This window comes from Homo sapiens, chromosome 8 (assembly GCF_000001405.40).
Source record: "Homo sapiens chromosome 8, GRCh38.p14 Primary Assembly".
NCBI classification, from domain to species: domain Eukaryota; kingdom Metazoa; phylum Chordata; class Mammalia; order Primates; family Hominidae; genus Homo; species Homo sapiens.
In genome coordinates this window covers 142,500,887-142,515,275 of record NC_000008.11, presented here as the reverse complement: position 1 = coordinate 142,515,275, position 14,389 = coordinate 142,500,887, and the positions used below count along the sequence as shown (strand labels likewise).

The window sequence follows — 14,389 nt, the reverse complement described above, 5'->3', positions numbered from 1 at the left end:
CCGGGCCCCTGCCGGAGACTGGCTCAAGCCAGGCACAGCGCGGCCCAGGCCCTTGCACATGCCAGGCCCCCTGCCCTGCACGCCTTCCCTGACCTTCAGGCGCCGGGCTCTCCTCCCAGCACAGAAGTCACCAATTCTCGGAGGCCCTCCCTGCATACTAGGTCTGAACCAGCCGGCCCCCTCCCACCAATGGCTTCTCCTGGCTGGTGACCGAGTCTCTGCCAGTTTCCACCACATGAACTCCCACTCCCAATCTTCTCCTGAACCCTATATCCACCCTTTGCCCCCTAAGGACTCATTTCTACCCACAGTACCACCTTCGTCCTGCCACTGCCCCAACACCGTCTATGGCTCCCAAATGCCCACAAAACTAATTTCTGTCTCTAGTCATAGACTAAGCCCTGAACCCCCATCATACTCTGACCCCTGACCCAGATTATACCCCGAGCCCCAATTCCCATCACACCCTGTCCCCTGAATCCAGCCACACACTAAACCCTGACCCAAGTATATTCTGAGCCTTGATCCCAGTCAGGCTGTGAGTCTTGATCTTGGGCACACACTGGGCCCTGATTCTGGTCACGTGCTGAACCCTGACCATGATCACACCCCTGAACCTAACCCTGGTCATACACTGAGCCCCAAACCTGGTTGCAAATGAACTGTGACCCTGGTCACAACCTTCCAATACAGTCTGAGGCACATCACAGAAGTCATGCCAACAACAACTGTCCTTTTCAGACTGTTTACTACACGCCAGACTATGTCAAGTGCCATAAATATATCACCTAGTTCAGTCCCCACCACTCTGAGACAGGTGGCATCATCCGCCTCACAGGTGTGACTCAGAGCGGTTACTCAACCTTCCGGCCGTCGTAGGCCTGCTGCAGCCGCAGAGCCGGCATCTGCGCAGCCCGCATCTGCGCCGACACCCTGGCTCCAGGCCAGCTCTAGAGGAGGACTCGTGGGTCTCACCTCCCCTCGCTCTACCACCCTGCCCGGATCTCATCCCACCCTGGCTCCCGGGGTGCCCACGTACCCGCCTCTACCACCATCTCAGGCCCCTGTCCTGGTCAGCAGCCCCTGTAGGCCACTCTGAACCCCCGAAGCCACAGCCTCTGCCCACTCAGACCAGAGTCCCCACACCCAACGTGTCCATCCAACCCCAGCCAGGCTAAGCTAGGCAGCACCCCTCTCTCTCCCTGCCCAGCCAGGCTCACTTCTGGCCGCCTCCCCAACTGCCAGCTGGGCTCACGCTCCTCACTCCTGCTGGGACCCCTGGGTACCCAGGCCTGACTGCTCTCCTCTTACCTCCCAGCCTCCCACCAGTCCATTCTGTAGCCGGCTCCTCACGCCCCTGGAGTAAGCTCGGGCTCCCCGCAGCCCCCCAGGCCTTGCGGGCCACCAGTCTCTCTGCCTCTCCTGCCTGCTGAGCCCACGCCTGTGCCCACTTCCCCGCAGCTTCATGCCTTCCTCACTCTGCAATGGCTGCTACTCACCCCACAATGCTCGGCTGGTAAACTCCTGCACACCCCTCAGGACCCCACTTCAAGCCTCAGCCCCGTGCACTTCTCCCCACACCACACTCAGGAGGGGAGAAGGCTGTGGCCATGCACCCAGAGCCCACCCGCAGCCTTCCTCCTTTCCACCTGGGCGGCTGCAGACCTCTGTGTGCACACATCTGCCTCCCGCATCAGCCCTGGCACCCCAGCCCACAGCCCTCAGAGGGATCGGCACGGTGGACAAAGGAACCTGCCAGGGGCAGGCTGCACCCAGAGAGCAGTCTCCCTTTCACTCTTGGCCTCTCCCTGCCCAGCATCAAGGGGGCCAGCCCTTGCTGAGGAGGAAGAGGTGGTGTGGAAAGGACAGGAAGGCCCCAAGGGGCTCTGGTGCCAGGGAGCACCTGCCAGAGGCTGTAACCACCCTGGCTTCTTCCTGGCACTCTGACTGTCAGCTCACACCCCTGCTGGTGCCCAGAGCCCAAACTGAGCCACACATGGTCTGCCCTTGCGGCAGAGCCAACCGCCCTCCCATCTCACAGATGAGGACACTGAGGCTCCCAGGGTCCAGGCAGCCCGCCCTCGGTCCCGTGGCTCTGCAGACACTGCCAGCCCCTGTGCCCCGGCCTCAAATGTCCTGTCTGGGATGGGGGACAGGGCACCCAACATGCCTGCTGGCATCCTGCCCTGTGAACACCAGTGTGCGTGGGCTGGGCTAACACTAGAAGCGCCCCCCGACAGCAGCCACGAACCGCCTGCCAAAGAAGGCCCAGGACTGTGTATCTGGCTGCCTCCACCCCCGCCCCCCGCTGCTGTCCCACAGAGCAGCCGCTTCCTCCCCCTCGTGCACTGGGGCACATAGTGGGTCTCCTCCTGGAAAGGCCCCTCAGCATCAAGGCCCCTGCTGCTGGAATTTCAGGGGCACCCCCTTCAGCCCATGTACCTGCCCCTCTCTGAACAAGTTCCCTAAGCCAGGCCCACTCTGGAGGTCAGCCTGGTGACTGGCTGGTATGCCACCGCCTGGGGACTGCCCCGTTCCTGGGACTCTCTCCGAGTCATCTGTTTCCCTCCTCACAGCCAGTCCTGGGTAGTCCAGGTCCCCTCCCTTTTACAGGTGAGGAAACTGAGGCTCAGAGGGACTTAAGGCAGAGCCAGTCCAGGGTCACAGTTCGTCAGAGACAAGCCTGTGTTTCCAGACTCCAACACTGACCTGCTGCAGGCCTGACACCGGGCTGGGAGAAGGGGCAGATGGGGCACACACCATAGCAGGTTCTCTCCTGCCCAGGTCCTCCTCGAACACCCACAGGAAGAGCAGCACCCGGAGACTGGAGGCTGGGCCCTGCCTTGCCTGGTCCAGCTTCGAAGGGGCCCAGAAAGGCTGCCCAGTGAAAGCCATAATGTCTATGTCCTCCTACACAGAAGGCCACCTCTTCCAGGGAGCCTCCGAGATGGCCCTTCAGACTGCTGCCTGCCAGGCTCTGTCTGCAGAACCAGCAGCATCAACAGTCTCACCTGAGGGGACAGCCCAAGCAGGGGTGCACTATGGTCAGGGACACAGACCCCTGTCCAGCCCAGACTCACCCAAGACCTTGAGCAAGGCCCTCTCTCTGGGCCTCAGTCTCCCTGCCTGTCAACAGAGGATTTTACTGGCAATGGCCTGGAGGGTCCCATCCGGCTCTGGCACTGTGGGAGACCCCAGCTGCCAACATCACCTGCCCCCCACTTTTCCAGAGAACACAGCCAGGAGGCTGGAGTGTCCGAGAGGCTAGGCGCTACCTTCTACATCGAACCCGGGGTTCCCCAAGGGCCAGCAATGCCACCTCCAACACCCAGGAAGGACAGGTCCCCTCCAAGTGCATCCTCCACCCCTGCTGCCTCCCAGGCTTCCACACGAGGTCTGGGCGGAGGTTACTTGGTGAGCACACGCCCAAGGCCCTTTCCTGCTCTGTGGGCTGTCCTGGGCCTCGGCCTGGGCCCCAGTAGAGGGCTGTGGCCCACCTCAGGCCAGGGGGTGCAGCTTGGCCGGCCCAAAGCAAGAGAGCCCACCCGCCCCAGGGAGCTGCGCCCAGCACCCAGGGCCCCTGCCAGCGGCTGACCCCAGATGCCGTCTCCATAGAAACCGGCAGCCCCCACAGGAATCACAGGAACAAAAAGGAAGCCCCGAGGTGCTGAGGCCTGGGGGGCGGTGGATCTGGGCCAGGGCCCCTGCCTGGGGCCACCGCCACCTCCTCCTCCACGGACCAGGCTCTACTTGGGGTGGGTCGAAGGGCTCTGCCAAGGCGGCAGCTCCTCCTCCTCCCTCTCCCTGGCAGGCGGAGAGGACCAAGGGAAAGGGTAGCCCCTCCACAGGCGACGCCTCCCAGCCCCCGGCTCAGGACCCAGCCTCTCCCCAGGCCCAGGCTCCCTCGGAGATCCCGGGCCTCCAAGGCCAGGGGAGATGGGACCCACCCATCAGCCACTTTCCGGGGGTCCCGACTCCTCCCAGGCCCGTCTCCAACTCCACACTGCCACCCGCTCGGCGCCCACCCACCCTCTCCAGAGGCGCATGGACCCCGCCGGCCGGGCCAGGCCACGGCGGCTGCGGGCCACAGCGACCCCTCCGGGACAGGACGGGTGCGGGCCCTCCCCACCCGCAGGCCCGCCGGCAGCCCCCGCCCGCGCCCCTGCCCGGCGCCCCTCCCGCCGGCCCGGCCGGGGTCTCACCGCGTCGGCGCTGAGCTGGGCTAAGATGGCGAAGGTGGAGAGCCGGTCACAGAGGCAGCGCGTCCGGAGGGCGTCGAGGGGCACCGTGCGGCAGCCGCGCCACGACCAGGGCCCGAGCTGCGGGGGGGCGGAGGAGGAGGGTCTGGGGGCGGGCGGGACACGGGAGGGAGACAGGCGGAGCGTCAGCGGCGGCGGGGACGCGGGCGCCCCGGCCCCCGAGCGGCGGCTCCGCGCCCCGGCCCCGGCCCCGGCCCGCCGCCCCGCACCTGCGCCCGCAGCCGCGCGCCCGTCCGCCCGCCGCCGCCAGGCCCCGCGGCCCGGGCGCCCATGCCGCGCTCTGCGCCCGCCGCCGCCGCCGCCGAGAGCCGCGGAGCGCAGCCCGAGGGAGCGCCGGGCGGGGGAGCCGAGCGATCGGGGGCGGGGCGGGGGGCGAGAGCTGGCCCGGGGCCCGGCAGTCGCCCGCCCCGCGCCCCCGCCGCCCCCAGCTCCTCCGGGGCCCGCGCCCCCGGCCCGCGCGGGAAGGAGGGGGAGGCCCGGAGGGGCGCGTGGGCGCACGTGGAGCGGGGAGGGTGCGAGCCGGGTGTGGCCTGGGGGCGCGGGGCGGGTTCGGAGCGCGGCGAGGGTCCGCTCCGGAGCTCTCCGGCCCCGCGGCCCAGGGCGCCGGCTGGAGCTGACGACCTTGGGACCGCTCCATCCCCCACATCCACCTCCCCCGGGCCTCATCACCCCTGGTGCCTGCGGCTCATCTCCTGGGACAGACACAGCCTTCCCCGCGGGGAGGCTTGCCGCTGGAAACTTCCCTCTGCGGTCTGACCCAGCCGCCCGCTGTCTACGGGCCGCGACTGCCCCGCTTTTCATCTGAGCACGCATTTAAGCACAGGACTTGTTACTTGGTGCACCAGGGACTGACCTGCTCTGCAAACCCCTCCTCCTCCTCTCCACCCCCAACCTCCTCCTCCTGTTCTTCCTCCTCCACCTCCTCCTCTTCCTCCTCCGCCTCCTCTTCCTCCTCCTCCTGCTTTGGAGCCGAATTCCCCCACCCTTCAAGGCAGCCCTCCTGTCCGGAAGCCACCGTGTCCCTCCTTCACAGACCTGGCCCTGGAGCCGGGCCTGCCTTCCTGCCTGCTGGGGCTTGGCTTGCAGAAACTGCCCAGGAGGCCCTCTCTGAGGCTGAGTCCCCAGCCCCACCCAAGGTCCTGGGCCTGCCTGGTGGAGGAGGGACTCCAGGCCTCCTGAAAAGATGAGCCCCAAGAGCTTGTGGGTGCAGCTCTGCAGCTGCAGGAGCCCCAGCTGCTGGTCTCCTTCTGAACCCACGGCTGAAAAGGCCTCATTCCTCCCTAAGTAGCCGGGACACAGCCCCTGCCCCCGGACTTCAGGAGAAAAGCCCAAGTCGAGGGTCTTCCTATGGTCTGCCCTAGAGCCTCCATGCTGCAGTTTTACCCCATTCCCCACCCAGGAACGAGTGCGGCAAGGTGCCTTGCAGAGTCTTCAGCTCACCTCTTCCATCCGGTCCCCACTGTACCAACGGGGGCTGAGGCTAGGAGTCAGAAGGGACCTGCCCCGGTGCCCTGTGGCTGGCGCTCTCTCCAGCCTGCTATCCCCAGAGGAGCCTGGAGAGCCACCCCCACACGCAGCCCTGACCCCACACGAAAAGCCGCCTCTGATCAGACACCTGACTTTGTGCCTCGGCTGTGTCCTATCCTAGCTATGTGACCTTGGGAAGTTACCTATACCACCTCTTGCTTCAGTCTCCTCATCTTTAAAATGGGGGTGGGGGTGTCCAGAGGGAAGCACCCACTCCACTCTGGACAGCGCTGAGCGGCACAGGGCCGGGCTCAGAGCAAGCATGGGTCACCAGTGCCCATGTCTGATAGCCCAGAGCAGCCTCTATTGAATTGGGGATGTTGCTCAATCTCCCTCAGCAGCAGCACTTCCTGAGATTCGGGCCCAGGGGAGAAGGGACATGCTGTGAGCCGCTGGCTGGCGGGGGAGACCCGTGAGAATGCCCTTAGCATCTGCTTTTATCTCTTGCATCTTCTCCGCCTCCTAGGGGAAGGACCTGCTCCTGTTTTACAGAGAAGGAAAACTGTGGCGGAGATCACAGACAAGGCAGAGCTGAGAGGAGGCCCGGGAGCCGGCCTGAGGTTCTGCAGGGCTGGCTCTGGGCTCTGTGACCCTGGGAAGCCCCCTCCCCTCTCAAGTGCGGTGTGAGGCCAGGATCCTGTTTCACGGGCCAGGGTTTAGAAGCATGAGGCTCACCCATCTCCAGCATCCTCCGTAAAAGGAAGCCACAGAGGCACGTGGGAGCCTGGAAGGGCCCTGCAGCACGGTCAGGCTCAGAGGATGCCTCTGTCTGTGCCAGGGGCCTCAGCCCACGTGACCTTCGCAGGCTCCAAAGGGCAGCCATCCTCCACACTTACCCAGCCACTGCGATGGCGGCCAGGGACCCAGGCTGTTCTGCGTCCGCAACACAGGATGGCCGAAAAGTCATAGACCTGGGGCAGAGAGACCCTTCCACCCTCTCCCTGAGCAGAGTGCAGATCCTGATAACCACAGAATAGAATCCTGGACCCAGGCAGGCTTTGGGGCTATGGACAGAACAGGAAAGGGAGCGTGGGGTCCCTGGAAAGTCCTGGTGCTCCAAATGACACCCCAGATCCTACATCCTGGCCAGAGGGTTTTCCAAGGTCTCATTCAGGTGCACAAGGAACATCCCACTCACCACCTGTGTCCATCCCCTACACCCTCCAGGGCAGAAGCCACTGTCCCCATGCTGGAGAGGAACAGGTGGAGCAGGGACCTGAGACCCACCCCAGGCACAGAGCCGCTAAGCCCTGGCTGGTGGCTGTGCAGCAAGGGAGGCTCAGGTAACTCCCAGGAAACCTGCATTGGCTGAGTTTATTTCCTGGCTTGGGATGGGTCTCAGGTTATCTCTGACAGTCCCTTGCAGACCTGCAGTTCAAGTCAAGGTTCAGCTGTAGGCCCCGGGTGGGAGGGGGCATGCAGCCAGACACATAAAAACTGGAATCCAGGCCCACCGCTGTCTTGCTATGTGACGTTGGATAATCGCTGCCTCCCTGAGCCTCCATCTCCCACCGAGAGGGCCCATCCCCGTGCCTGGGGATGGGTGTGCGGTTGTGGTCTATGCCTGCCAGCCTTTGACCAGACACCAAGATGGCCAGCACAGTACAGGCCAGAGGGCACCCCAGGAAGAGTCCTGCAGACCGCTTTTCCCTGTGCAGCTGATACTGGGTTTCCAGTCACAGCTCTGCTTCTCAAGGGCCAGGCACAGCACAACCCAGGCCAGGCACAGCACAACCTCAGCCCTCTGCTCAACTGCCTGAGGGTTGCTGGGAGCACTTCGAGGGTGCAGGGAGCCGGGCTGGCTGGGGCCAGCAGCCTGGCTGGTTCCCAGCCGCACTGGCCAGTCTGCAGGGCGCCAGGCCGACAGCTGTCCACCACTGCCTGGGAGAAGGCCAGCCTGGGAGCCAGCACCCGGCCCCCAGGGCTCCTGCTGTGGGTGCTGAGTCGTTTATCGGCCTCTGGGGGCAGGGAGAGAGACGGGCTGCTGCCTACTCTGCTGAGGGTCAGGCCATGGAAGGCCCAAGGAGGCACCTGCCCCTGGTCCAGAGAGCTAGCTGGTCAGGCTGGCAGCTCTGGAAGCAGGAAGCTCCCGGCCATTCTGTAAGGGCCTGGATCCTGGGGTGGGGTTCACTGGGACCCTGCAGGCCTGCAGTGCAGGTGCCCTCCTCAGCCTCTCTACCTCCTCCGTCCTCCTGGCTCCACAGGCCTTGGCAGCATGTGTCAGGGGAACAGCCTCCCAACACACAGCCCAGGGACAGGGACCCTTCTCCTCACCCTTCCCTGCACCTCCACGATAATGGCTTCTACTCTGTGCTAAGGGCTTTCTGGCAGTTTATCATTTGATTTCTGCAGGAACCCTTAGGTCAGCTTTGTAAATAAAGAAACCAAGGCTCAGGGAAGCAGCGATTGTCCAAGTTCACACAGCAAGACAGCAGTGGGCCTGGAATCCAGTTTTTATGTGTCTGGCTGCCTGCCCCCTCCCACCCAGGGCCTGCAACATCTGAACCTTGACTGAAATGCAGGTCTGCAAGGGACCGTCAGGGGCAACCTGAGACCCATCCTGAGCCAGGAAATAAACTCAGCCAATGCAGGTTTCCTGGGAGTTACCCGAGCCTCCCTTGCTGCACTAGACCTCAGTCAAGGACTGGCCTTTAGCAGGACAGATGGAGGGCTGGGCCCTGAACTGAGGCCCTTGTGTGCATCTTGGATGCATGTCGACTTAGGCAAGGTGGCAAAGCCTCAGACCTCCCTCTTTCAACAAAATCTCTGGGACGCATCCTCTTGTACCAGATCCTGACTTACAACATCTGGAAGTTCCCCCGAAAGTCTGACTGAAATCCTTCCTGCTGCAGGGGGCACCTGTTCCCATCTCTGCAAACAGGCAAGTCATTCCCTCCTCGCACACAGCGACTGCTCCCGCACGTGGGAGACCATTTGCCACCTCTCGTCAGCTACAGAAACTTGGAATATCTGGGTCACAGAGCGAGGTCCCCTCCTGAGCCCAGGCCTGAGGAATCTGGGTCAGTTACACCTGCTCCCCACCCCCATGTGTCCAGGGTGAGAGCAGGAGCTGGGGCAGTGACACCACCCAGGACCAGCTGAGCAGGGGCCTTGCTACAGCAGGTCCCCTTCCTGCCCAAGAGGAGTGGGGACCTAGAGCGACCTGGGACCCTCAGACAGGAATCCCAGGGCAGGGCTGTGCCTTTCCCCTTAGATAGGGCCCCATGACAGGTCCAGCCACTGCCCACCCCTCTGCAGACCACCAGTGACCGCCACCATTGGGACTCCTCCCACTCGGCTCCTGCCAAGGTCGCCAAGGACCTCCGTGCCAAGAAACCCAAGGGACAAGTTCTGGTTCTGTTTACTCCACCTCGGGGTCGCCCAGGTGCTCAGTCAGCACGCTGCTCACACATGTGGCCCCAGGGACACATTCTGGTGCATGACAGTCCCACAGGCGCCCACAGGCGCCACTAAGGTAGGGCGCACAGCCAGGACGCCTGCGCGTGAATGAATGGGGAGGGCACGGCCAGCCTGCCATCGCTCACCCGGAGCCTTGGGTCCCCGCTTCACCTCCCCCACCTCCCTGCAGCTGCCCACCAGCTAATCCCACCAGCCTTTATCTGAAAATGCATGGAGAGCCCCACAGTGCCCACCCTCCACAGCCACCACCCGTGCCCCTGGCTACTGTGGCCGCCGCCCCTTGCCCTCCTTCGCCTGGCTTCCCAGGGCACCAGTCATTTGAAATATGTCAGGCCGCATGGCCCTCAGCTTAGAGCCCTCCAGCGGTTCCCTCTTCACTCAGAGCAAAGGCCACAGTGCTCCCAGGGCCCGCAGGGACTGGCCCCAACCTCCCTCACCCAACCTCCCAACTCTCTCCTCTGCCACAGTCCCGTCAGTAACCACGGCTCCCAGCAGACCCCTCCAAACCCAGCAATGGCCGCAGCTCCCAGACAGCTCCCAACCCAGTGTGGATCCCCACCTCACGTCGCCCTCAGCCCCAGTGCAGGGCCACAACCTTGTCCCCATCTCCCAGGGGAGGGCAGCTCAGAGAAGGCCTCCCCAGCTGGCTATGGGGAAGGACCTGGGCCCAGCCCTGCTCGGGCAGCCCCCACAGGCACCTCCACTGAGTCCGGGGCAGGTAGGAGGCCTTGGGAGAGCCCACTGTGGCTCCTGTGCTCTTGGGGCCCCTGCCCTGCACCCCCGGCAAGCGCCTAGACGATGCTTGTCCAGCCCGGCAGGGGGTCCAGCAGCCAGCTCTATTCTCACCCTCGGAGCTCAGCTTCCTCCTGTGAAATGTGCCCAGATCCTCACCCCGCACCTGTCCATGGGATGGCAGAGGCACAGTGCCCGCACAGGGCCTACTCATTCATGGGACACAAGGGGACAGTGACGGGGAGGGCGCTCTAAGAGCCCACCCACCCACCCACCCACCAAGCCAGAGCCTTCACTGCATTCACGATGCCTCCTGCCGGCCCACGAAGCAGGTGCTATTATGGGACTGTGCGCTGTCGGGGTCCCCTTGGATTTGATGGGCTAATTCACACTCTAGTGTGAATGACTCACAGGGTGTCCTCCCACATAACAGAAAGAAGCCAGGAGTGGGCACAGCACACCGCAGTGGGGGAGTTCAGGCGCTAGGCAGGGAGTGGAAATGGTGTCTCTGCAGGCAGAGGCTTCGGCTTCTAGGCCTGGCCTCAGGAGCCTTAATGGGCTGGCCTCCCCAGTGCCCCTTAAACCAACACGCGGCTCGATCACCCCTAGGTACAAGCCCCTTAGTCATGCTTCATCCATCAGGAGTGCCTGGCTCCCACCTCTGCCCATTGACTTCTTGGCCATAGATCAAGACTGGCATTGTGTCCTCCTCCAGGAAGTCTACCTGGATAACCAGACTTCCCCCCTGCCCTTCCATGAGCTCCTGGGCATTGCTCCTGACCCTCAGCCAGACCCTTCCCCACCGCTGTGCTGGGCTCCCCTCCCTGTGTTCTGCCTCACCCAGCAGCCAGAGCCCCCCGCGACCATCCCAGAGGGGCCTCCCTTGGCCCTGGTGGCCCTGCCTCTGGTGGGCCTGCCCCTGGTGGCCCTGCCTGCACAGGCCAGCCCAGCAGGTAACCCAGCAAACACACGCCCTCTGCTGCCTCCAGGCCCTGGTCCTGGCTGGTCCCCTGGCCACAGGCCCCGCATCCTGTGTGATTAGCCTCCCCCTCCAGGGCTCCTGGAGCCACTGCCTCCCCTAAGAAGCCTCCTTGACTCCCACTCCATGCCCAGCCCCTGTCTGGCTGCCAGTCTGTGAGGCTCTCCAGGGCAGGCCTGGGTCAGCTCTAGCCCCTCCAAGCTCAGGGCCTGGGGGCAATTACCTGGGGTCCTGAGGAGATCCTGGTCGCTGTGACCCATCGACCTTGGCATTTGAACACCTGCCTGACCTGGGTCTTACTGAACCCAGCTTGCCAGATGACGCTGGAGCCTGCTCAGGCTTGGTGCCCTGTCTATGAGGCTGGCTCCTGGGCTTCTCCCAGAGCTGCCCATGTCTGAGCCTCCCTCAGCACCGACAGGTCCACATCCAGGGCCTCCAGGGCTTCTCATGTTCCTCACGATGCAAGATGCCAATCTCCTGGCTCCCACCTGGCGCCGCCACACTGAGTCAGGGCTCCTGGCCATGGGATACCCCTGGGCTGGAAACCCAGCCCTCCCCAGGGTCCAGCAGCTCTTCTCCTGACCTACTTATCCACCTGGGCAGAGGCACAGAGGCCCCAGGCTGTCTGCCAGGCAGAATGGAGCTCCTGAAGAGGGCAGGGTGCTGGCTGCCCAGCCTGGCAGAGAAGTGACCTGGAGCAGGAGGGCTGGGGTCCTGCAGACCCGCACCTGCTGCCCCTCCCCAGCAGGAGGCTGGCACTCAGAAGCCTGCCCGAGCCGTCTTGCCTCATGCAGACCCGCACCTGCTGCACCTGCAGCCCTGCTCTGCCTGGCCTGTCACCTACCCCTGCTGGCAGGGGGCCACTGCCCAGACCTCACACCCTTTTACGCTCCAGCCATTGGTACCCAGTGGCAAGGTCAAAGGGCCAGCACAGTCTCTCACTCACTCAGCAGGTGCCTCCCTGGCCTGGCCTGTGCCAGGCCCTGTACTGGGCACTGGGCACCCCCACGAGCTCTGCCCTGGCTCTAGCAGATCCCAAACCTTCCCCCCATTACAGCCAGCCCAGCCTCATCTCCTCCCAGACCGCCATGACCTCGGAAGCGCTCCCTTGGCTCTCCCGCCATTTCCTCACCCACCTGGCCTGCCATCTGCATGGCTGCTGGGCTCTGGTTCCTTAACTGTGTCATGGGGGGTCTCGCTTCCCTCAGGGGGCTTGGGCTGCAAATTCACCTAAGAGCTGGGCCTACCACCACCACCACTTGTCACCACAGCCTCCACCCTCATAGCTACCACTGAGGCCAATCACTATCAACACCATCTACAATACAACCAGGACCACCACTGTCACCATCGCCACCACCCCCTCCATGTGTTATCAACACCATCATTACCACCAGGTCTCACCACCACTACCAACAATACCATCCGCCTTCATCACACCACAATCATCACCTCAAGACACGACCATCAGCATCATGCCATCAACAGTACTGTCACTACCACCAACAGCAGCAACACCCACTCTGTCATCATCAACAACACAACCATTGCTACCACACCTTCACCACCATCCATGACACCATCAACATCATAAATACCACTCTTTCTGCCACTATATCACAACCACCACCACTACCAACCCCATCATCAGCACCAAAACCATACACTACCAACAATGCGACCCTTACTACCACCATCACCATCACCACCATCACCACCGTCACCGTCCCCATCTTCACTACAGCCACCACCCCATCATCAAAACCACAGTGATGACTGAACCACCATCCTATCACCACCACCACCACCACCTCTGCCTCCATCCTCAAAACCACACAACCATCACTAACGCCACCCCATCATCACCACTGTCATCATCAAAACCACAGTGATGACTGCACCACCCCATCATCACCACCACTACCACCACCACCACCATCACCACCACCACCACCACCATCACCACCACTGTCATCATCAAAACCACGCAACCATTACTACCACCTCCCCATCACCACCACCATCACCATCACTACCCCACCATCACCATCACCACTGTCATAATCAAAACCACACAATCATTACCGCCACCCCATCATCACCACCAGCACCACCACCATCACCATCACCACTATCACCATCACCACCACCACCACCTCCACTGTCATCATCAAAACCACGCAACCATTACTACCACCACCCCATCATCACCACCACCACTCCATAATCACCCCCACCACCTCACCTCCGTCATCAAAATCACGCAACCATTACTACCACAACCCCATCATCACCCCCACCCCGACCACCATCACCACCACCACTGTCATCAAAACCACACAACCATCACTATCACCATCCCATCATCACCACCACCACCCTACCTCCATCATCAAAACCACACAGCCATCACTACCACCACCCCGCCATCGCCATCACCGCCACCACCATCACCACCACATCACCCTCACCATCACCACCACCACCCCACCTCCATCGTCAAAACCACACAAACATCAATACCACCACCCCATCATCACCACCACCACCCCACCTCCATCATCAAAACCACACAGCCATCCCTACCACCACCCCACCATTGCCATCACCGCCACCACCATCACCACCACCACATCACCCTCACCATCACCACCACCACCCCACCTCCATCGTCAAAACCACACAAACATCACTACCACCACCCCATCATCACCACCACCACCCCACCTCCATCGTCAAAACCACACAGTCATCACTACCACCACCCCACCATCGCCATCACCGCCACCACCATCACCACCACCACCACATCACCATCACCACCACCACCCCACCTCCATCGTCAAAACCACACAAACATCACTACCACCACCCCATCATCACCACCACCACCCCACCTCCATCGTCAAAACCACACAAACATCACTACCACCACCCCATCATCACCACCACCACCCCACCTCCATCATCAAAACCACACAACCATCACTACCACCACCATCACTATGACCACGACCACCACCACCACCGTCATCATCAAAACCACAGTGATGACTGCATCACTACCATCACCTCCATCATCACCACCACCACCACCACTGCCATTAACAGCACAGTCATTACCACCACTGTCACCACAACCGTCACCTTTACTGTCCCTTCACAGTCATCACAATGACCACCGGTCACCCATGGTCACCAGCGTCACCTCCACTATAAGCACATCATCATTCTCGTCTCCAACACTGCCATCGCCTCATCAGAACCAGCTCCGTCACTGTCCCTGGAACTGACACTAGCCTGGTAACAGTCACCAGCATTCGACAACAAGTGTTTATCCCGTGCTCACCATGTCCAAGGCGCAGTGCAAGCAGAACCAGGCTGGCAGGAGGGACGGCCACCACCATCACCAGCAACAGGGCATCCACGCCATCACCACTGCCTGTCACACCTGACACCCCTGCCCTCCAGG

At 62.4% G+C, this 14,389-nt stretch overlaps 1 protein-coding gene across 19 annotated transcripts in view, besides 5 other annotated features; it reads right to left on the bottom strand.

Moving 5' to 3' along the window:
- ADGRB1 (adhesion G protein-coupled receptor B1) overlaps positions 1 to 14,389 on the bottom strand; it is a 95,359-nt gene that overhangs the window by 29,732 nt on the left and 51,238 nt on the right. For 17 of the 19 annotated variants that reach the window (XM_017013695.2, XM_047422057.1, XM_017013691.2 and 14 more), the window contains one exon: positions 4,203 to 4,344. In XM_017013695.2, coding sequence (XP_016869184.1) covers positions 4,203 to 4,344 — 142 coding nt within the window. Of the gene's footprint in view, positions 1 to 4,202; positions 4,345 to 4,468; positions 4,579 to 5,294; positions 5,351 to 14,389 lie in introns of those variants that run through there. The other 2 variants (NM_001391987.1, NM_001391988.1) reach the window with 2 other exon arrangements.
- Positions 1,557 to 2,056: an enhancer, noted in NCBI's record as "H3K4me1 hESC enhancer chr8:143594581-143595080 (GRCh37/hg19 assembly coordinates)". NCBI's record gives its function as "activates a minimal SCP1, AML or CMV promoter by ChIP-STARR-seq in naive H9 embryonic stem cells {active_cell/tissue: H9 hESC(naive)}" and the evidence as "EXISTENCE:reporter gene assay evidence [ECO:0000049][PMID:30033119]".
- Positions 2,057 to 2,558: an enhancer, noted in NCBI's record as "H3K4me1 hESC enhancer chr8:143594079-143594580 (GRCh37/hg19 assembly coordinates)". NCBI's record gives its function as "activates a minimal SCP1, AML or CMV promoter by ChIP-STARR-seq in naive H9 embryonic stem cells {active_cell/tissue: H9 hESC(naive)}" and the evidence as "EXISTENCE:reporter gene assay evidence [ECO:0000049][PMID:30033119]".
- Positions 4,849 to 5,618: an enhancer, noted in NCBI's record as "H3K4me1 hESC enhancer chr8:143591019-143591788 (GRCh37/hg19 assembly coordinates)". NCBI's record gives its function as "activates a minimal SCP1, AML or CMV promoter by ChIP-STARR-seq in naive H9 embryonic stem cells {active_cell/tissue: H9 hESC(naive)}" and the evidence as "EXISTENCE:reporter gene assay evidence [ECO:0000049][PMID:30033119]".
- Positions 5,619 to 6,390: an enhancer, noted in NCBI's record as "H3K4me1 hESC enhancer chr8:143590247-143591018 (GRCh37/hg19 assembly coordinates)". NCBI's record gives its function as "activates a minimal SCP1, AML or CMV promoter by ChIP-STARR-seq in primed H9 embryonic stem cells {active_cell/tissue: H9 hESC(primed)}" and the evidence as "EXISTENCE:reporter gene assay evidence [ECO:0000049][PMID:30033119]".
- Positions 8,859 to 9,560: an enhancer, noted in NCBI's record as "H3K4me1 hESC enhancer chr8:143587077-143587778 (GRCh37/hg19 assembly coordinates)". NCBI's record gives its function as "activates a minimal SCP1, AML or CMV promoter by ChIP-STARR-seq in primed H9 embryonic stem cells {active_cell/tissue: H9 hESC(primed)}" and the evidence as "EXISTENCE:reporter gene assay evidence [ECO:0000049][PMID:30033119]".